Raw genomic sequence first — 16406 nt, 5'->3', positions numbered from 1 at the left:
TAGTATATTTTCCAGGTTACTGGAAGGCTGAATGTGGCATTTCTCAGACTCAGATGAAGCTAAGGTTTCACATGTGACCTGGTCTCCACCAACAAAATGCACCTACATAAGACATGGAAGCCGGATATGAACATTGTAAGGCAGAATCTATAGGGCTGCTTGGCAAATAAAGTGGTTGGTTGAAGTGTATGGTTATTCTGTAGAGTTCTAATGAAGGTTCTAGTATTTAGTCTGTATCCTTATTGGTTCCATGTGGCAGATGGTAGGTGAGTGGAATTTCCACACGGCAGTCCCTTTGTGCAACTGGAAGTTTCTCTCATGTATTATCCAAGCCTGGTTTCTGGGTCCTAGAAGAAATGTTGTTAATTATTTTGTTATATAAAAACACACACACACACACACACACACACATTCTGCCTAAACTAGCAAGAGTAAATTTTGTTTCTGTAACCAGGAACCATGGCCAGTAGGTACCAGTAATGGTATGCTGCATGGTACAAGTACCACTGATTTAGCAGAAAGATTTGGGCAGTGTGTGATAGGGCTCTGTTTTTAATGTGGTAGCAAACTATTTGGTTAAGCTGCCAACTGCTTACCTTGAAAAGCAGACTTTTTGCTGACTGAGGCCATAATGTTAAGGGAAATAAAAGATAAATTCATAGTGTTTGTAGGTGGTGGTATAGTTTTGCTATTTTCAGTAAAGTCTTTTGAGTTAGGTGAACTCAGACTAGAATCAAACATTCTGAAAACAGAGGTGGAAGGAAGCAAAGATTTTCTAAGGGAGACATTCTCTGCCGATACTTGCTAACAACTGATGAAGAGTCCAGTGATATGGGCCTTGCAGTGTTGAAAAAGTCATCTACTCTGTACTTGAAATTGAAGAAGTTTTAAGCTGTGGCCATGTAACTGCTGGCTTAGCAGGAGGTAAGACTTGTGCTTTGTCATAATGCAGCAGTGATATTGTTAGCAAGAGGTGATAAATTGTATTGCCTCCCCACCTAAAGCTATTATTTCAGATGATCTCAAGGTAGACACCATTAATTTAAGGGCCAGAGGGATGGGCAGAGTACAGAGCCCAGTAAATAAAAACTGAGAATCTGCAGCCTTGAAAACCATGTCTGGGCAAGACTTTTGGCTATGGTAACCTGTACATGGAATGGAATGGAAACAAATCAAGCCTGCTAAGTGTCTGAAGAAATTAACATCCCAAAGAAATCCCCAACTTGGTTTGCAATAATCTCATTGTTAAAACTTTAAAATAATCCCTGTGCTGAAATATTTCAAAATCCAAGAGGTCTCCAAGAAGGACAACCTCCCCCGTGTCTGTCTCAGATACATTTGTTGAGGAAAACTGTCAAATGTGAAACTTCAAAGGCAGATCCAGGAACAGCAGAGGGCAAGGCACGAGGGAGAACATTCAGGAGAAAGAATCAGAGGCTACCAGGTTGGTCAATCAAGGAACTTCCTGTATTGCCAAGGAAAGGAGTCCTGGCTACTCCTGCTTAGTAGGTTTTGATAATTACTATGGAACGGTGACCAATGTGTGTTCCTCATTCTTCCTTTTCCAAATGGACAGATTTATTGCAATGATCTTGTTCCTTCTTCATGGTTGAAAATGTAAATGTGCTATGGCTGAAAGCACGCCCGTTTACCAGCCTTCAAGGGGCCTCATCGGGGCATCCTGGGAGTGCTGCATATCACCCAGAATTCTTAAGCAATAGATTTGATGCAGTAACCAGAAGACGCTTAAGTCTTGTTCCCTTGAGGGAGGCAGTGAGCCTGTTCAGTGTATGGAAACAAGGACATGCAAGTTGGTTTAGGAAACCAAAGAGGCAGACCACAGGCAAAAATGTGAATTGCGTGCTGTGGTGGTTTTAAAATCTGTTCACAAATTATTTGCTACTCCTCCCTTCAAGATGACTTTCCATTTTGAGTGTGGAATGAACTTAGGGACTCACTTCTAATTAATAGAATAAAATGGAAGTAACCATGTGTGAATTAGGAGACCGGGTCAGAAAGGACACTGTGGCTTCGCTCTCGCCCTTTCTTGGACGGCTTGCTCTAGTGGAAGTTAGCTGCCACATCATGAGGATACTCAAGCAGCCTGAGGAGAGGCCCATGTGGCAGGAATCTGAGGCCTCCTGTCAACAACCATGTGAGGGTGCCTTCTTGCAATTCGATCCTCCAGACCTAGGCAAGCCTCGCATGACCACAGGCCCTGCCAACACCCTGACTGCAGCCACATGAGAGACCTTGTGTCAGAACCATCCAGCTAGGCTGTTCCTGCATTCTTTGCCCCCAGAAACTATGAGATAATAAGTGTTTCTTGTTTTAAGCCACTAAATTTTGAAGCGATTTGCTATGCATCAATAAGGAATAACAATTGAGTGTTCCAATGACTCTACATGCTCACCAACACTTGTTTTCATCTTTTTTTTTTCTATTATAGTCATTTGCCTTGAGTGTGAAGTAGCATCACACTGTGATTTTGATTTGCACTTCCCTAATGGCTAATCCTATGGAGTAACTTTTCATGTGCTTGATGTACATCTTCTTCGGAGAAATGTCTATGCAGACACTTTGCTCATTTTAAAAACTGGGTATTTGCCTTTTTATTATTGAGTTGTAAGAGTTTTTTATATAGTCTAGATATGGGTCCCTTACCTGATATATGATTTGCAAATATTTTCTCCTATTCTATGGGTTATCTTTTCATTTTCTTGATGGTATCCATTGAAACACACAAGATTTTAAATTTGACTTCAGTACAATTTATCTATTTTTTGTTATTCATGCTTTCAGTGTCATAGCTAAGAAGGTTTTGCCTAACAGAGGTCACAAGGATTTACTGCAATATATTCTTCTAAGAGTTTAATAGTTTAGTTCTTACATTTAGGTCTACATTTCATTTTGAGTAAATTTTTGTATATGATGTGAAGGAGTCCAATTTCATTCTTCTGCATGTAGATATCATAGCACCATGTGTTGAAAAGATGATTCTTTCCACCATTGAATTGCATGCAATTGTGTGTGTGTGTGTGTGTGTGTGTGTGTTCAAATTCTTTGTGAAAAGAAAAATTACACGAGATTTTCATGTTTCTTAAACTAATCTAAAACAGATAGGTCAGTGTCTATGTCTTCTTTTGAGAGCCAAACAATTATACAAATAGTAAGCATACATCATGCTTTCTTTGTATCTTTCTTCCCTTTAGAACCCTGAATTATTTGGAAAAACAGATGTGTTCTTCACTTTTCTTTAGTTGAAGTCTATCTAAATATATCTCTAAAAATAATAGGATCATGTTTTTACTGAATTGATTCATAACATGGTCCTATGTTTGTGAAATCCCTTAAAGGAAACTTTCATATGCATTTACGACAGGACTGCCTAATGAGAGCTGCATACGCCATTTCTACATAAAAGGAAAGATTTCATGTGATATTTACTCTCAATCATTTAGACATATCAAACTGACACATTATTAAAACTGACAGGTTTTCCTTGCTTCGTTGGGACTTCTTGGTTTTTCTAACCCTGTAACTATACTAGACATTTTCTTGTTTTGAGAAGGAATGAGACGGCATCAACCACATATGCATTTCATTAAAGTATCTGCCTTTTCCTTGCACAGGTTTGGCTACTTGTACACAATCATTCTCAGACTTTTTTTAAAAAGATACAGTTTTCAAGATTCATTTTAGTGTAGAAAATGAGTGCCCTGGATTTGCCAGTCTTCCACACTCAAATCCCAATGAAACCAAAAGGGCTCCAATCTCATTAGGGAAAGCTGCACAGTAACCTGCAGAGAGGGTGTCTAAGCATCTTCAAGTCAGCTCTTTAGACCTTTCTTGGTACTCAGGGAGCTGCAGCAAATCCTTACTGCAGCTTCAGGTAGGCGACTGCCTCAAACAAAGGTCAGGGTGGTTTTTGTCATCTACAAGTAACTGGGCATAAAAGAATTAGAGAGCAAAATCCTGGACTTCTACAGCTAGGAAGATGCTTGGCAGTAACTGCATAGAAGAGATAGCTTCATACTGTAGAGAGAATTTTTTTTAAAGCTTAGTCAACCCCAAATCTATAGCGTTTTATTTCTGCCATAAAGACAGTTTACATTTACAGTCCACCACCATAGTTAATAGAGATAGAAGTAGTTGTAACTACAGCATCGTTAATGAAGACACAGTACATAAAATGCAAACTTTGCTGATTCTCTAAATTGGCGTAAAAGTCTAAACACAAGAAGGTGGTCTTTATAACCTAGCATAATTCAACACTAATAATCGGCATAAGCTTTTAGAGTTAACAAGATTTAGATTTTCCTCTTAAGAAACTTTTCTTAAACTATATTATTAAATATTTCCTACATTCTCTGGAGCTGCACTACCTGATATGGTAGTTGTTAGCCACATGTGGCTGTTGAGCCCTGGAATAAGACTAGTCCAAATGAAGATGTGCTATAAATGTAAAAGACACACTGGATTTTGAAGACTGTAAAAGATTGTAAAATATCTAATTAATAATTCTGTATGTTGTATAGACATGAAATGGTAATTTTTGATGTATTGGGTTAAAGTGCATTATTATAATTAATTTTACCTGTTCCTCTGTACTTTTGAATATAACTACCAGAAAATTTAACATTCCTTATGTGGCTCACATTTGTGGTTCACTTTATGTTTTTATTGGTCAGTGCTGCTCCAGAGGCTAAGGGACTGTGGCTAATAAGGTAACTGCAGTGGGGTTCCATTTGTCTGTGATCTATTATATTACACATATTTCTCCCTACTCAGGTGTCATAGTTCACTCCATAGTGTAAATATGGGCTCAATACTTCTCAGTGCATATTTTTGTCTTCTCATACCTCTCTACTGTTGAACAGTCTATGTCCTCTCCTGAGAACCTCTTTTCCCACTTTGCCTACATGGCTAATTCTTTTAACCTTTTAATGGCCAGCGGAAGCATTATTTTCTCTGCAAAATGTTCTCTGAACTCCCTTACATCACAGCCAGGACCCCAAGAGAAAGATACATTCTGTCCTCTGGGGTATGACAGTATGTTGGCCAATATCTACTGAATGTCTATTGTCTGCTGGGCACAGGGATGGGTAGCTGGAAGTCCCCAAATGTGAATGAGAGGGATATGGACCCTGTGCCTGTACTGCTTGCATTCTACAGTGGGATACGGACAAGCAAATACCCACTAACAAAACGGTTTTTGAAAATGCTATAGAGGAGAGATTTAGAGAACACACCAAAGGCTACAGAACCAAAGGCTAGAGAACACACCCAGACTACATCTTTGTGGCGGAGAGGTATACTGAGACTGAACTAAAGGCATGTGATCCCACAGGAACCCTGGACGTAAAACAATAATTAGGTGTTTAAGTATATAAACCCAACAGCATTGTTTTCACATCACAAATGATTCAAATGAGACTTGACTTCAAAGTACAAATTACCAAATAGGCATTCTTATATTACATATAATGCCCTAGTATCCTTGCAATGACTCTGTTAGCCAGGAAATTTAGGTATTGATTTACTTAAAAAAACAAAGAACAACAACAAACAAGTCTCCACATAATTAGCATGATTAAGTGAAAATGAATTCCACAAGAGGTGTGCAATTTACTTAACACTCATGCCACTATCAAAAGAGTTCAGGATTTCAGTGATTGGATTTTTGTGGGGTTGAGAAAACAGAATAAGAAGAAGTAGTGAGCAGCTTTGGGAAGTCACCTAACATACAGCAGTGGACTTTTTAACAACAATGTTGGAGGGCTGGAATATTCTCGGCTTGCTGGGCAATCTCCATGGTCCAAAACCTGGTTAAGAAGTAAGAGGAATGTATTTAAAAGATAGACTTGAGTAGTCCAAATATCTTTCCCAAAGTCTATGCACTAAGGTGTGTGTGCGCCCTACTCCTTGGTGAGCCCATTAGTCCCTTACCCAGAACCTATTAAGTTTACTTTAGACAGAATTGTGACAAGTGAGGCTATCTGGATTCCCAGTCCGCACTAGACTGGAAGTTACCCATCAGAAGATGAGGAGAATGTTAGTGGCAGCTATGCTAGTAACAGTAAGGACAATAGATTGTCAGTTAGTGAAGGGGGAGAGAGAGAAATTACAAAAGGCAGAGATAATCACTAAGTCATAGCATCCTAGAGTCCTTCGGTGCAGCGACTGATAGCTTTTGTACCTCCTGGGAGCATTCCTAACACCTAGAAAGAATATAGAATAGGAACTGGATATATTTACTGAATCCGCTACAACCTACTACAATAATTACTTTTAATAAAATTAACATTGAATTATCAAGAAAATGCTAAATGACGTTCAACAAACTGCTTAAGAGAAACATTTGCAATACATTGTAGAAAAATCTGTATAATGGTTAAAAATAATTTTCATAAAAAAAGTTTGACCCCCCACTAAGGGCCAAGCTCCAATTATGCTGGTCATCATTGAATTGAAACGGTTTGCTTTGTATCAATTCTGAATAAATGATGCACTAAAAAACAGCAGACTTTATTTTGCCTAGAGCAGATTTTGAATTGTGGTATATGCAAATAATATGGTATTATATTATATGAGGTTTAACTATATAAAATGGCAACAGATTGCATAGTTCAATCACTAGGGTGATGAAAAATAATTGTTTTAAAATGTGCCATTGCCACTAAGGAAAACATTGGCACTATGTGCCCGGCACTGTGCTGGGTGCTGAATTTATTAAGCATTAATTTGAAAAATTGCTTTCACTTTCAAGACTGTGACAGTATTCTAAAACTCTCATTCATATTGTTTAAAGGTTAAGTGAAATTTGCAATACACAATACAGCCATTACATAACAGGCACAGAATACAGTTTCATGACTTGGATAGTTTTTGTTTTTTAAGCGCATTAGCAACTTCATTTCCAAATGCTATCAAATTCTTCAGGATATGAAAACCTACATATAAGAATGGAGTGCCTCATCGGCTCATTTGTCTTATGTAATAAGTGTTTTAACACGGGCATGCCGTTTCAGAATTTCGGGTGAGACTAAGCTGTACTTTAGCTTTTTTGTGTCAAGCAAAAACAATTTCAGCAACAACACTCGCTTCCCCTGGTAATTTTTTTCATGGCGAATTACTAAATGCTAGATGCTCAAGTCAAAAAGAAACCTGACATCTGGGGAGGTGTTGAGGGGGTGTTAATAGTTCTAGTGAGATGTCTGGGGAGCGTTGAGGATACGATTTTTCAAACAGCAAATACAAGGATAAGGGGAAATTATGGTTTCGTATGACTCTCTCCTCCTTCCACTTTCTCGTTTCACCAATCTGTGGCCCCCCCAATTTAGAGGCGGGTTCAGTGAGATTAGGCTGCAGGAAACCGAGAGGCTCCACCGCGCTGCCGCCCCGGCCTCGTGATGTAATTGTTATTTCTTATTCGGAGACCGAACCGAGGAGAGCTGCTGAAGAAGTAGCAGCCCTGCTCCTTTTCCCTTGTCTTGTTGGGTCAGATCCTTCCCGGGGATGATGCAGATTGGCTGACAGACTCCGCTGGAGACTTCGCAGTGACAAAGCAGCCGAGGATTAACCCTGCTCCTGGGTCCTACGTCTGTCCAGGGAGCTGAGCGGGGCGCTCCTCAGGTCTCCTTCCTAGTTTTCCTCCCAGAGTCGCTCCACACGAGTGCTGGGCGCCTACTACGTGCTGGGCGTGGGGTCAAAGTGACCCAGAGTTCGCGCCCGTGCCCCCCAACATTAAAGCAGGACACACAGATTACAAGGAGATAGAAATTGGGGGTGGGTGGGTGAAAGGGGGCCCAGAGAGCGCGTGTTGTGGGGTGAAGGGGAGGAGGTAGACGCTTAAGGCAGGCGGGGACCCTGGAGCGTCTGGGGCGCCCCGGCCCCCAGGCTGTGCCCAAACGGGAGCATTCGGCCTGGGTCCCAAGAGCGCTTTCCCCGGTCCCCAGGAGGAGCTGTCCAGGCGCCTGCAGCGGTCGCGGGCGGCTGGACAGAGCTGGGAGCCCGGGGGACGGCCCGGGCGCGCCGTGCAGCCCCTCTCTCGGGGACGCGGTCCTCTCGCTGCCTCCGGGTCTTGCAGCCCCGTCTGGGACACCCGGAGAGCAGGCGAGAAGGAAATCCACGAAACAGAGGGGGTTCCGCAGCTCCTGTGAGCCGCCCGGATCCGCGCGGCTTCCTCCTGACCGGGTGACAATGGGAGGGAGGGGGAGAAAAGGGTTAAGAAACTTGGCTGAAGAGCTGAATGGCGTGGGGCGGCGAGGGGAGGGACTGGGCCGCGGCGGACTCGGCGGCGGAGGGAGGAGCGCGGCTGCGGGCGGGCGGTGAGCGAGGCGCTCAAAGTCAGCCTCGCAGACATTGCAGCAGAGCCCCGAACTCGGGAGGCGGCGGCGGAGGAGGCGGCGGCGAGGCGCAGGGACGACCCGGCCCCACGCCCGCCCGCCACCCGCGCGCGCCCGTCCGCCCGTGGCCTCGCGTCCGCCGCTGCGCCGTGAGCGCCGCTGGTCGGAGGGAAGAGCTCGCCGGGGCGCCGGGCCAGGACGGGGCGGCAGGCGCCTTCGCGGACCGAGCCTGACGGAGCCGGAGGCTGGGAGCCGCGGCGGCCTGGGGTGAGTGACGGCCGCGGCCAGGGCGCCAGGAGTAGCGGCCGCCGGCGCCGCCGGAAACGGCCCGGGAGCGCGGCCCGCGTCGGCTCTCGCTTGGCTGGCAGGGCCGCGGGGGCGTCGGGGCGGCGGGGAGGGCGCGTTTCCGGGGAAATCCTGCCTCTGCTGCCTGGTTCGAGTCTCCGGGTTCTCGCGGGGGGCCGGGGCGGCGGGCCGGCAAGTTGTGGAGTGGCCCCGGGTCGGCCCGCCCGTCCGTGCCAGTTCTGGGCAAGGGGGCGGCCGTCGCGTGGCCCCTGAGCGGGGCCGGACTCGGGGGGCCGGGTCGGGGTTGCCCCCGCTCGCTTGCCCTCTCGGTCCCGAACCCCGGGCACCGCTCGCCTCGCCGCTCTCCGTCCTGCTGTCCAGCCGGATCCTGGGCGGCGCCTTTCGCCTGGGTGCCTCCCTGCTCCTTGCTCGCTGGATACCCGGCTGGGAAAGTGAATAGGAAAAGGGACAGCTCGCCCGGCCCCCACCCGACCCCGGGCCGCTCTGCCCGCACTCGCGGTCCCCTCCCGATGGCGAGGCTCACGGACCCGAGGCCTCAGCCATCATTTTACCAGGAGCCAGGGGCCGGCCCCCATTTAGGGTGAGCCCGGTGGAAGTCCGGGAGGCTGCCTTTTCTCCCTTCTTCTGTGTCCACCTTATTACGATTGAATATTGTTTTATGAAGGTTTCCGTGGATGTATTCTGCAGACCCTCCCATCCCTTCCAAAGTAGTTTCCCAATTTTGATCAGGAGTTGGTGTTCAGTCAGAAGGAACAAAGGAACCAACTGTGTCTTAGAGGCGGACAGGCTGGGAGTCTGTGACACATGTTGATCTCTGAAGCATTCCAGGAGTTTCTACCTTTTATCACGTCAATAATTGGCTGCTGAAGGTAGTAAAAGAAGTACGGAATGATAAGCACTTTTGCGTTTTAAAAATATTTTTTAATGGCACATTTTACTTTGGGGAAAAAAGACGTTCTTAGGCACAAGGATTTTTAAAAACCCAGTTGGTGGAACTGAGTTGGAGTTTGTTTCTGGTATTGTAAATGATTACATGTGGGATTGTGAAGGAAATTGTGTCCTTAGAGGAAGAGAAGCCATCTGTAGGTGTCCATAGTAAAAATGGTTGTCGGGTTATATGTGATGAATGCTCTTTCTGTTTCTTGGGGGAATTTGTGAAGCAAGGGGCTTCGGTAATTCATTCTTTAAAGTTATGAATTGCATTGAACCTGCTTATTAGTGAATCATAGGTTTAGTAAGTGGGTGGCATTATTCAGTGTTTAATCATCAGTTTTCCACCTTTGTTGAAGAGACAGTGAAATAATAGACTTTTTAAACAAATGGTGTTTCATCTGCCTGGCCCCTAAGTGTCGGTTGCCGCCTGGAGTATGTTGAAGTGTTTTTCACCTTCCAAGTAAGTGAGTTGCTCTGGTTTTGCCCGGCAGTTCGGTAACGTCGATAGGGTTTATTTGGTTCAGGGAGCACTGGCTTCATCACCTACAGTAACTTTTTTTCTGCCTGGGCATAGTTCCTAGAGACAAAGAAGGAGAATCAATTAGTGGAGCGGCTACTGCCCTGCAGGTTGTAGGATTGGTTGTTCTAGTCTGTTTCATACTCTGGTGGAGAAAGACCTCTTTCCAAACTTACCTTTAAAAGTGCCCTAGGAGTGTGAGTAAAATATACATCAGAACATAACAGAAAAAAAAAAGGACTGTTCGTTGTTGATTTTATTCAAATGAGTTAGTTGAAAAACCAGGTTTAATGCCTGTGGGAAGTTAGTTGAAAACCAGGTTTAATGCCTCTTTTACATGCATTTCTAAACTCTGCAGAACTTGGATTTTGCTAATTTTAACACCCTAAAATATTGTTAACTTTGCACTAAAGAAGTGTGTGAAGAGACTAAAGGCTTTTCTGACTCTTGCAGTTATAAGTGCAAAACATCATGATAAAAAATAACCTATACCACCACCTAGAGTCTGTTTGTTAGTTTATTGCTCATGAAGTTTGCTTAAATTGACATGTCTGTTACAGTTCTGATATAGTCGAAAATGATTAAGAAGTACTAGCTTTCAAAAGCCCGTCCAAGAGAACAATTATTTAAGTAATAAATAGCAAGTGCCACTTTAAATTATCCGTGCCACCTTTAGAATTGAAAATTATGACATATCAAGTTGAGTGGGCTATTCTCCAAAAGATGTTAATTCAGAAGATTTTAAAACGGAGTTTTCAGTTTGTGCGCCAAGGCAGTTCTGATTGCTTAAAGACTTCTGCGTTGTTATCAGAGATTCAAGAAATCTTCCCAATCAGATGCCATTAGAACTTTTTGAAGTCCAGATGAAACAAAAGCAAAAATACAGGAGAGCATTACAACTACAGAAATTCTGGAAATTCAGAAGTTAAGAGAGAACGCAGCCCATGACAGAGTTGTGATTCAGAGATATGAAGAGTAAAATCAATGTGAATTAAAGTGATAATCTGTTTTGCTGGTAGTTTATATGTGGTAAAGCAGTCTATTAAATGAGAGACCTTAGGGAGGCAGCTTTGTTGCCATGTGGCTTATCACATTGTCCATGGAGGAAGTAATGTTCCTCCTTTAAGTGGTGTAGCCTGAGAGAAAGATGGCCTCCAAGATCTTTAATTAAATACCAGTTGAACAGAAAGAACTAGAGCACTGTATTAATTCTGTCAAACATCACTATTTTAGAACATTGAGGACAACTAAAAATGAATTAACGCATATCTGAAAGCAGAGTTTGATAGAAGGTGACAGATGAGGCAAAATATGCCAATCTAATGGAACAAATAAGATAAGGAGATATGCCATCCTTGACTCTAGAAAGATCAGAGGGAAGAAGATTATTGTTAATTGCACAGATTCTATTGCAGACCAATGCTAGAAGACAATGACATAGAAGTAATTTTAAATCAGAGTGGCTTAGGATATATGAGGTTAAAGGAATTTGGCTTTTAATTTTAAAACGTAAAGAATGTAAGAAACTCAAAAGCTCATGTTCTAACTGTTGTTTGGGAAAAGCAGTAATAGTTTGGTGTATCAGGTTAAAAGATAATTTTGCTCAGAATGAGTTTAAAATACCGAATTTTTGTCAAGGAAAACATTATTCACTTTAAATTGTGCTAGGGTCAGTTTTGCTTTTCGCATTTGAGATTGCTTGATACAATTAGTTTTTAATGTAGGTTAGTAAGAGGAAATGGTAGTCCCTTCCCTACCATTTCCCTCCCTCCCTTGCTCTCTTCCCCTTTTCTAAAATAAACACTGTCTAGATCTTTGGATATTTTCTTCCATGAAAAACTGCCTTAGTTGCAGCGTTCCTTCTTGGCTGTGGGTGGGGAGAAGTTTCTTCACTCTTGTACTTTTCCCTTCTGCCCCTTCAGGTGATTGATACACAATCAGAGTGGGTTTTGTTCTGTGTGTTTGTTTAATAACGATTTACTGTTACACGGATGAAGACTGGGAAAAAGCATTTGCCGTTCTAGCAAAGTCCTGTATACCCATGTCTTCCAACTGGAGAAATATTTTCATTAAAATAATCTTGACTACTGTTGAAAAGTCAAAGAAAATTTTCAACAAGATATGCTAGGGTCTTGCAGGATATGAGTTTGAATCTGTGAACTAAAAAGGTTCAAGTTGCATTTCCTTAAGTTGTAGTTTTTTCAGGGACTTTTGGGGGAGGGGGAATGAGCAGGCTCATCCTGTAGTATTTAGATAACACAACAATTAGAGAAATGTAACACCACTATGGCCACTAAGACTTGAGAAGGTAAAAACCAGGAGTGTCAGATGGTGAAACAGGCCATTGGAATGGAACTGAAGATTATGTCGAGAGGTTGGAATGAACAAAAAGTAAATGGAGGAGAGAGATCTAGTTTCTGTATCCTGTTTGCATCTGATGCTGAAGCAGAGACATGAATTGCTGATGGTAATGGATTCTATTCTCTTTTAGGAGGCCAGCAATATTATATAAATAGTGGTTGTTTGAGGGAGAGAAACGACAAGTTCCCCTTTTGTGCATGTTCACACTTTGTTTTGAATGTCTCTGAGATATCTTTAAAGTAGAGGATCAAAATTGGGTACCAGCATGGAATCAGGAGTTATACTTTGGAGGAAAATGAATTAATATTAGATCACATTTTCTTTAATCTTTTAAGATCTGGAATTTTACAAGGGTCTTCATCAACAGGGAAAACCGTGTTCTGAGTGCTAAAGTTTGGGTGGTGAACTGGATAATTCTTTTATAGGATCTCTGATAAAGATAAACATGTAAATAACTGCAGAAATAATGCTTTATTTAAGCACATTACCTATGATTCATGGTAGGGGGAAAATAGAGACCACAGAAACTCCTGAAGTCTTATCAGGGTTTCTTTGCAAACTATTATATGGATGCCCATCTGTTGTTTTTTCTTGAAATTTAGTGTTCAGGTTGATGGATACTGAATGTATAGGATTCTGAAGGTTGGAGTTTATTTAAAACAGAACTTTCCTTTTGTTTTACTACGAGTTATGAAATGCAGTTTTAATTTGTTGCAATAAATATAGAAACTGAGATGAGTAGGAATTTATACTAACTTTTCTCACTGTTATGGTACATACTCTATATCATGAACCTTGAAATTCAAATTGATCCCTACACTATCTTGCAAATATTACAAATGAAGAATTACAAAAGTTGTGGTATTTTAGCTTATCAAAATGCACCCGAAACATAAAATATTTTTCTTTAAGTTCTTAAATCAGAAGAATAGGAAAGAGTTGAAAATAAATGTGATACATTTTATCATTATATTAGTATTTTGTTGAAATTAATACCTTGAATCATGCTATGGATAAACATTTAGCCTAGAACTCTAAAAGTAGTATAATGTGAATCAGATTTAAAGAATTGAGAAGGCTGGCAATTCAAAAATAGAGGAAGAAAACACTCTTTGGGGTTATGAAAAAAAGGATCCTCTTAGTATTAAGATTTCTTAAAAAGCTATACACAGTTTTAAGATAGATTGTTCTTGAAGATAATGGGGCAAATAATTACCTGCTAAACAAATTATGAGTCCTGTGATTCTTTTTTTGGTTGAAATAATTTCAAGAACTCCAGCATATGTTGCAGTTTTGGCTAGAAAGGTGATTGTGACATACATCCATTCATCCATTCTCCCTCTCTCCTTCCCTCCTTCCCTCCCTTCCTTCTTTCCACTTTCAATACATAGGGCTGGGGTAGCAAAAAAAAATAATAATAGTAAACAGTTTTGTAAAACTTGATAATAGAATTATCTGACAGGGTTAATAGTTGTGTTTGAAATTCAGAGCTAGTATGGTTCACTCTCCCCAGAAAATAAAATTTTAATTTCTTACACCTCAGGGAATAAAAACTCTAAATTAAAACCCATCTTGCCTCTTTAACTTTGTGTCACTTAGCAAAAATATCTTTAAGGATGGAAAGAAGAGACCCCATGTGTCTTAAATTCCAAGTCACTGTGTGACTAAGCTCGGAGTTCCAATAAATATTAAACTAGAATTCTGCTGGGAATTTGAGTCATCCGCTTAAGCTACTCCTGGGACCAAGACAACTCTGGTTGACCTGATGTTGATGTTTATTCAGAGCTTTGGTGGAAAGGAGCCTCTCACCCTTGGACTTCTAATTAACAAAGTCATTCCTTAGTCACTTGTTAAGTGATAGAGCTACTCCTTGTTTTCAGGCCTGTAATTTGCTAAAGGATTGAGCACAACAGAGAAACTAAGGAGTTTGGAGCTTCTGCTGTTTAGAGTCTGCTTTCATTATTTTACTTTTACTTTCTTATCTAGCTATGTGAGGGTACTATGTAAAAGTCTGGTGATTTGCTTTAGATACTTAAGAGAAAAGCTTAGCTGTAGTCACATATAGTGTCTAAGATGGCTTTCCTTATAGTTACATGTTTTTAATAGTTGAGTTTGCCTATACTCTTCATAACATGTGCACATGTTAAATATGTTACTGCTTTAAAAAAGCATTTCATTAGTAAGATGGGGAATCGTTTATGTACAATATTGAAATGAGAGTAGTAGTATAATGGTGTGTTTGGTAACTAACAGGACACAATCAAAATTTGAGAATTAGAAGTTCAGAATGAAAAAAGGACTTCTCTCTTGAGGAATCTATCTAGAAGTTGAGAGATAGCAAGTGTTTAACAGAGTGTAATGATTTCTGAGAAGCATGCTTTTAAAGATTTTTTTTAAATTCCTGAATTTATGAGTTTATATTATAATAATCTATAATAGAGCAATAGATTTATACACTGGAAAAGAAACAAATTAAGGGAAGGAGAGAATACACAATGACATGGAGGACATCAAGAAAATATGTTTGGAAACATGTGAAACTCTCCAAATGGGAAATAAATATTCTTGAGAGAAATTAATCACAGTTGCAGTTTTTCTCCTAAAGGGACTGTTTGCACAATGGGTTATGTAGGCTCAGGTTTGATTTTTGAAAAACATGTTAAAAAATAGTATTCCTGTTATTCCACGTTTATTTTTCGAGTTTAGGTTCTGCTACTAAATCAAGATGATACAGATAAAAGGAAAGCCCTTTTATCTCCCCCGGCAGCATCTGTTGAATAAGGGGGTTATATTTGATTTCTAAATTCTAAAATTCTGACTGTACAGCAGTATATGCCGTTGTTGACAGTAAACAGTAAAGATTTCAAGCCTGTGGTTTTAAAAGAAGAAGAGATGATTGGGTAGAAACTTGGAATATTAAGAAGTTGTTTAGTTACTTGGCTGTTGCCTTTTCCTGTTTTGTTGGGAGGGGGAGCAGGGAAAGGAAGAGTATTGAACTTTTTGGGGCAACCGTTTTGTGCCAGACATTGTGCTGGAAGCTTTACACACATTTTGTCTTTTAATCCTTCCAGTTCCCCTGTGACATGTAGGTATCATTTTCTCTAGTTTAGAGATAAGGAAACCTAGTCTGAAAAATGCAAGAATAGTTAACTTGCCTGTGGTCACATGGCAAATTTCATTGATAATTTGATTTTCTTAAAGAATATGCCATTGTTTGAAGAAAAAACCAGTTGCCATCTGACATTCAGGAAGCCGTTAAAAAACCTTGCTCCCAACCTGGTAGCCATAAAACTCATGCAGCATTTGCAAGCCTCATAGCCTGGATTCTCCAAGACCAGGCTCTCTGGGAAGGCACATTGTTGCCAGTCGATGATTCTGCAGCAGCTTATGCTAGTTCTCAAAGCGCTGATGTCCTGCTACCTGCATTGCGCTGGAGGGAAATGTAGTCACCAAGGGCTGCCGCACAGGCTCTTTTCCCTCCAGTGCTAACTCTTCTGAAGTGTATCACAGAATTACTGCGGTGTTATTTGAGGCAGTGAAAGCAACTATGTTTCTTTATATAATTCATTGAAATAGCTTGTCATGGTCTTAAACTGAGTGTTCCCAAGGCTAGTTATGTTTGTCCACTTCAAGGAGCAGTTGTAGCAAATTCAGAACCATAGCTCTTCCTGGTTGAAAAGTTACAACTCTTGACTATTAACAGTTCTTAACATGATTTTTTTTTTAATTACCCTATCTTCACTCACAACAATTTTGTTAAAGACTATCCTGTGCTGATAAACTGCTCTCTGAAATGCAAAGAGGAAATTAACAATGTATTTGTGAATTGGAAGGAAGTGGAAGCAGAGAGATGAGGAGTAGTTGACTTTATTTTGAGGGTAGACTGTGTCAGGAGGGAGATTGTTGAGTGGGGGAGCTTTGTGGCACATAGTACATTTTTA

General features: G+C 41.3%; 1 protein-coding gene and 1 long non-coding RNA gene across 21 annotated transcripts in view, besides 7 other annotated features; one reads left to right on the top strand and one right to left on the bottom strand.

Moving 5' to 3' along the window:
* LINC02920 (long intergenic non-protein coding RNA 2920) lies at window positions 5523–6290 on the bottom strand. The gene is made up of 2 exons (NR_186411.1): window positions 6148–6290; window positions 5523–5825 (listed from the first exon to the last, which is right to left on the bottom strand). It is a non-coding gene; the product is annotated as a long intergenic non-protein coding RNA 2920 (long non-coding RNA).
* Window positions 7424–16406, top strand: part of NRIP1 (nuclear receptor interacting protein 1) — a 104702-nt gene continuing 95719 nt past the window's right edge. For 10 of the 20 annotated variants that reach the window (NM_001439284.1, NM_001439285.1, NM_001439280.1 and 7 more), the window contains exon 1: window positions 8360–8615. The gene's annotated coding sequence lies outside the window, so the exon portion shown is untranslated. Of the gene's footprint in view, window positions 7636–8359; window positions 8616–8769; window positions 9524–16406 lie in introns of those variants that run through there. The other 10 variants (NM_001439278.1, NM_001439276.1, NM_001439275.1 and 7 more) reach the window with 3 other exon arrangements.
* Window positions 7459–7508: an enhancer, noted in NCBI's record as "active region_18292". NCBI's record gives its function as "activates an Ori minimal core promoter by ATAC-STARR-seq in GM12878 lymphoblastoid cells {active_cell/tissue: GM12878}" and the evidence as "EXISTENCE:reporter gene assay evidence [ECO:0000049][PMID:35858748]".
* Window positions 7839–8018: a silencer, noted in NCBI's record as "silent region_13217". NCBI's record gives its function as "represses an Ori minimal core promoter by ATAC-STARR-seq in GM12878 lymphoblastoid cells {active_cell/tissue: GM12878}" and the evidence as "EXISTENCE:reporter gene assay evidence [ECO:0000049][PMID:35858748]".
* Window positions 8269–9128: a silencer, noted in NCBI's record as "silent region_13216". NCBI's record gives its function as "represses an Ori minimal core promoter by ATAC-STARR-seq in GM12878 lymphoblastoid cells {active_cell/tissue: GM12878}" and the evidence as "EXISTENCE:reporter gene assay evidence [ECO:0000049][PMID:35858748]".
* Window positions 9959–10008: an enhancer, noted in NCBI's record as "active region_18291". NCBI's record gives its function as "activates an Ori minimal core promoter by ATAC-STARR-seq in GM12878 lymphoblastoid cells {active_cell/tissue: GM12878}" and the evidence as "EXISTENCE:reporter gene assay evidence [ECO:0000049][PMID:35858748]".
* Window positions 14418–14467: an enhancer, noted in NCBI's record as "active region_18290". NCBI's record gives its function as "activates an Ori minimal core promoter by ATAC-STARR-seq in GM12878 lymphoblastoid cells {active_cell/tissue: GM12878}" and the evidence as "EXISTENCE:reporter gene assay evidence [ECO:0000049][PMID:35858748]".
* Window positions 15843–15892: an enhancer, noted in NCBI's record as "active region_18289". NCBI's record gives its function as "activates an Ori minimal core promoter by ATAC-STARR-seq in GM12878 lymphoblastoid cells {active_cell/tissue: GM12878}" and the evidence as "EXISTENCE:reporter gene assay evidence [ECO:0000049][PMID:35858748]".
* Window positions 16113–16162: an enhancer, noted in NCBI's record as "active region_18288". NCBI's record gives its function as "activates an Ori minimal core promoter by ATAC-STARR-seq in GM12878 lymphoblastoid cells {active_cell/tissue: GM12878}" and the evidence as "EXISTENCE:reporter gene assay evidence [ECO:0000049][PMID:35858748]".

This window comes from Homo sapiens, chromosome 21 (assembly GCF_000001405.40).
Source record: "Homo sapiens chromosome 21, GRCh38.p14 Primary Assembly".
Classification (NCBI taxonomy): Eukaryota; Metazoa; Chordata; class Mammalia; order Primates; family Hominidae; genus Homo; species Homo sapiens.
This window is presented reverse-complemented; position numbering and strand designations above follow the sequence as displayed.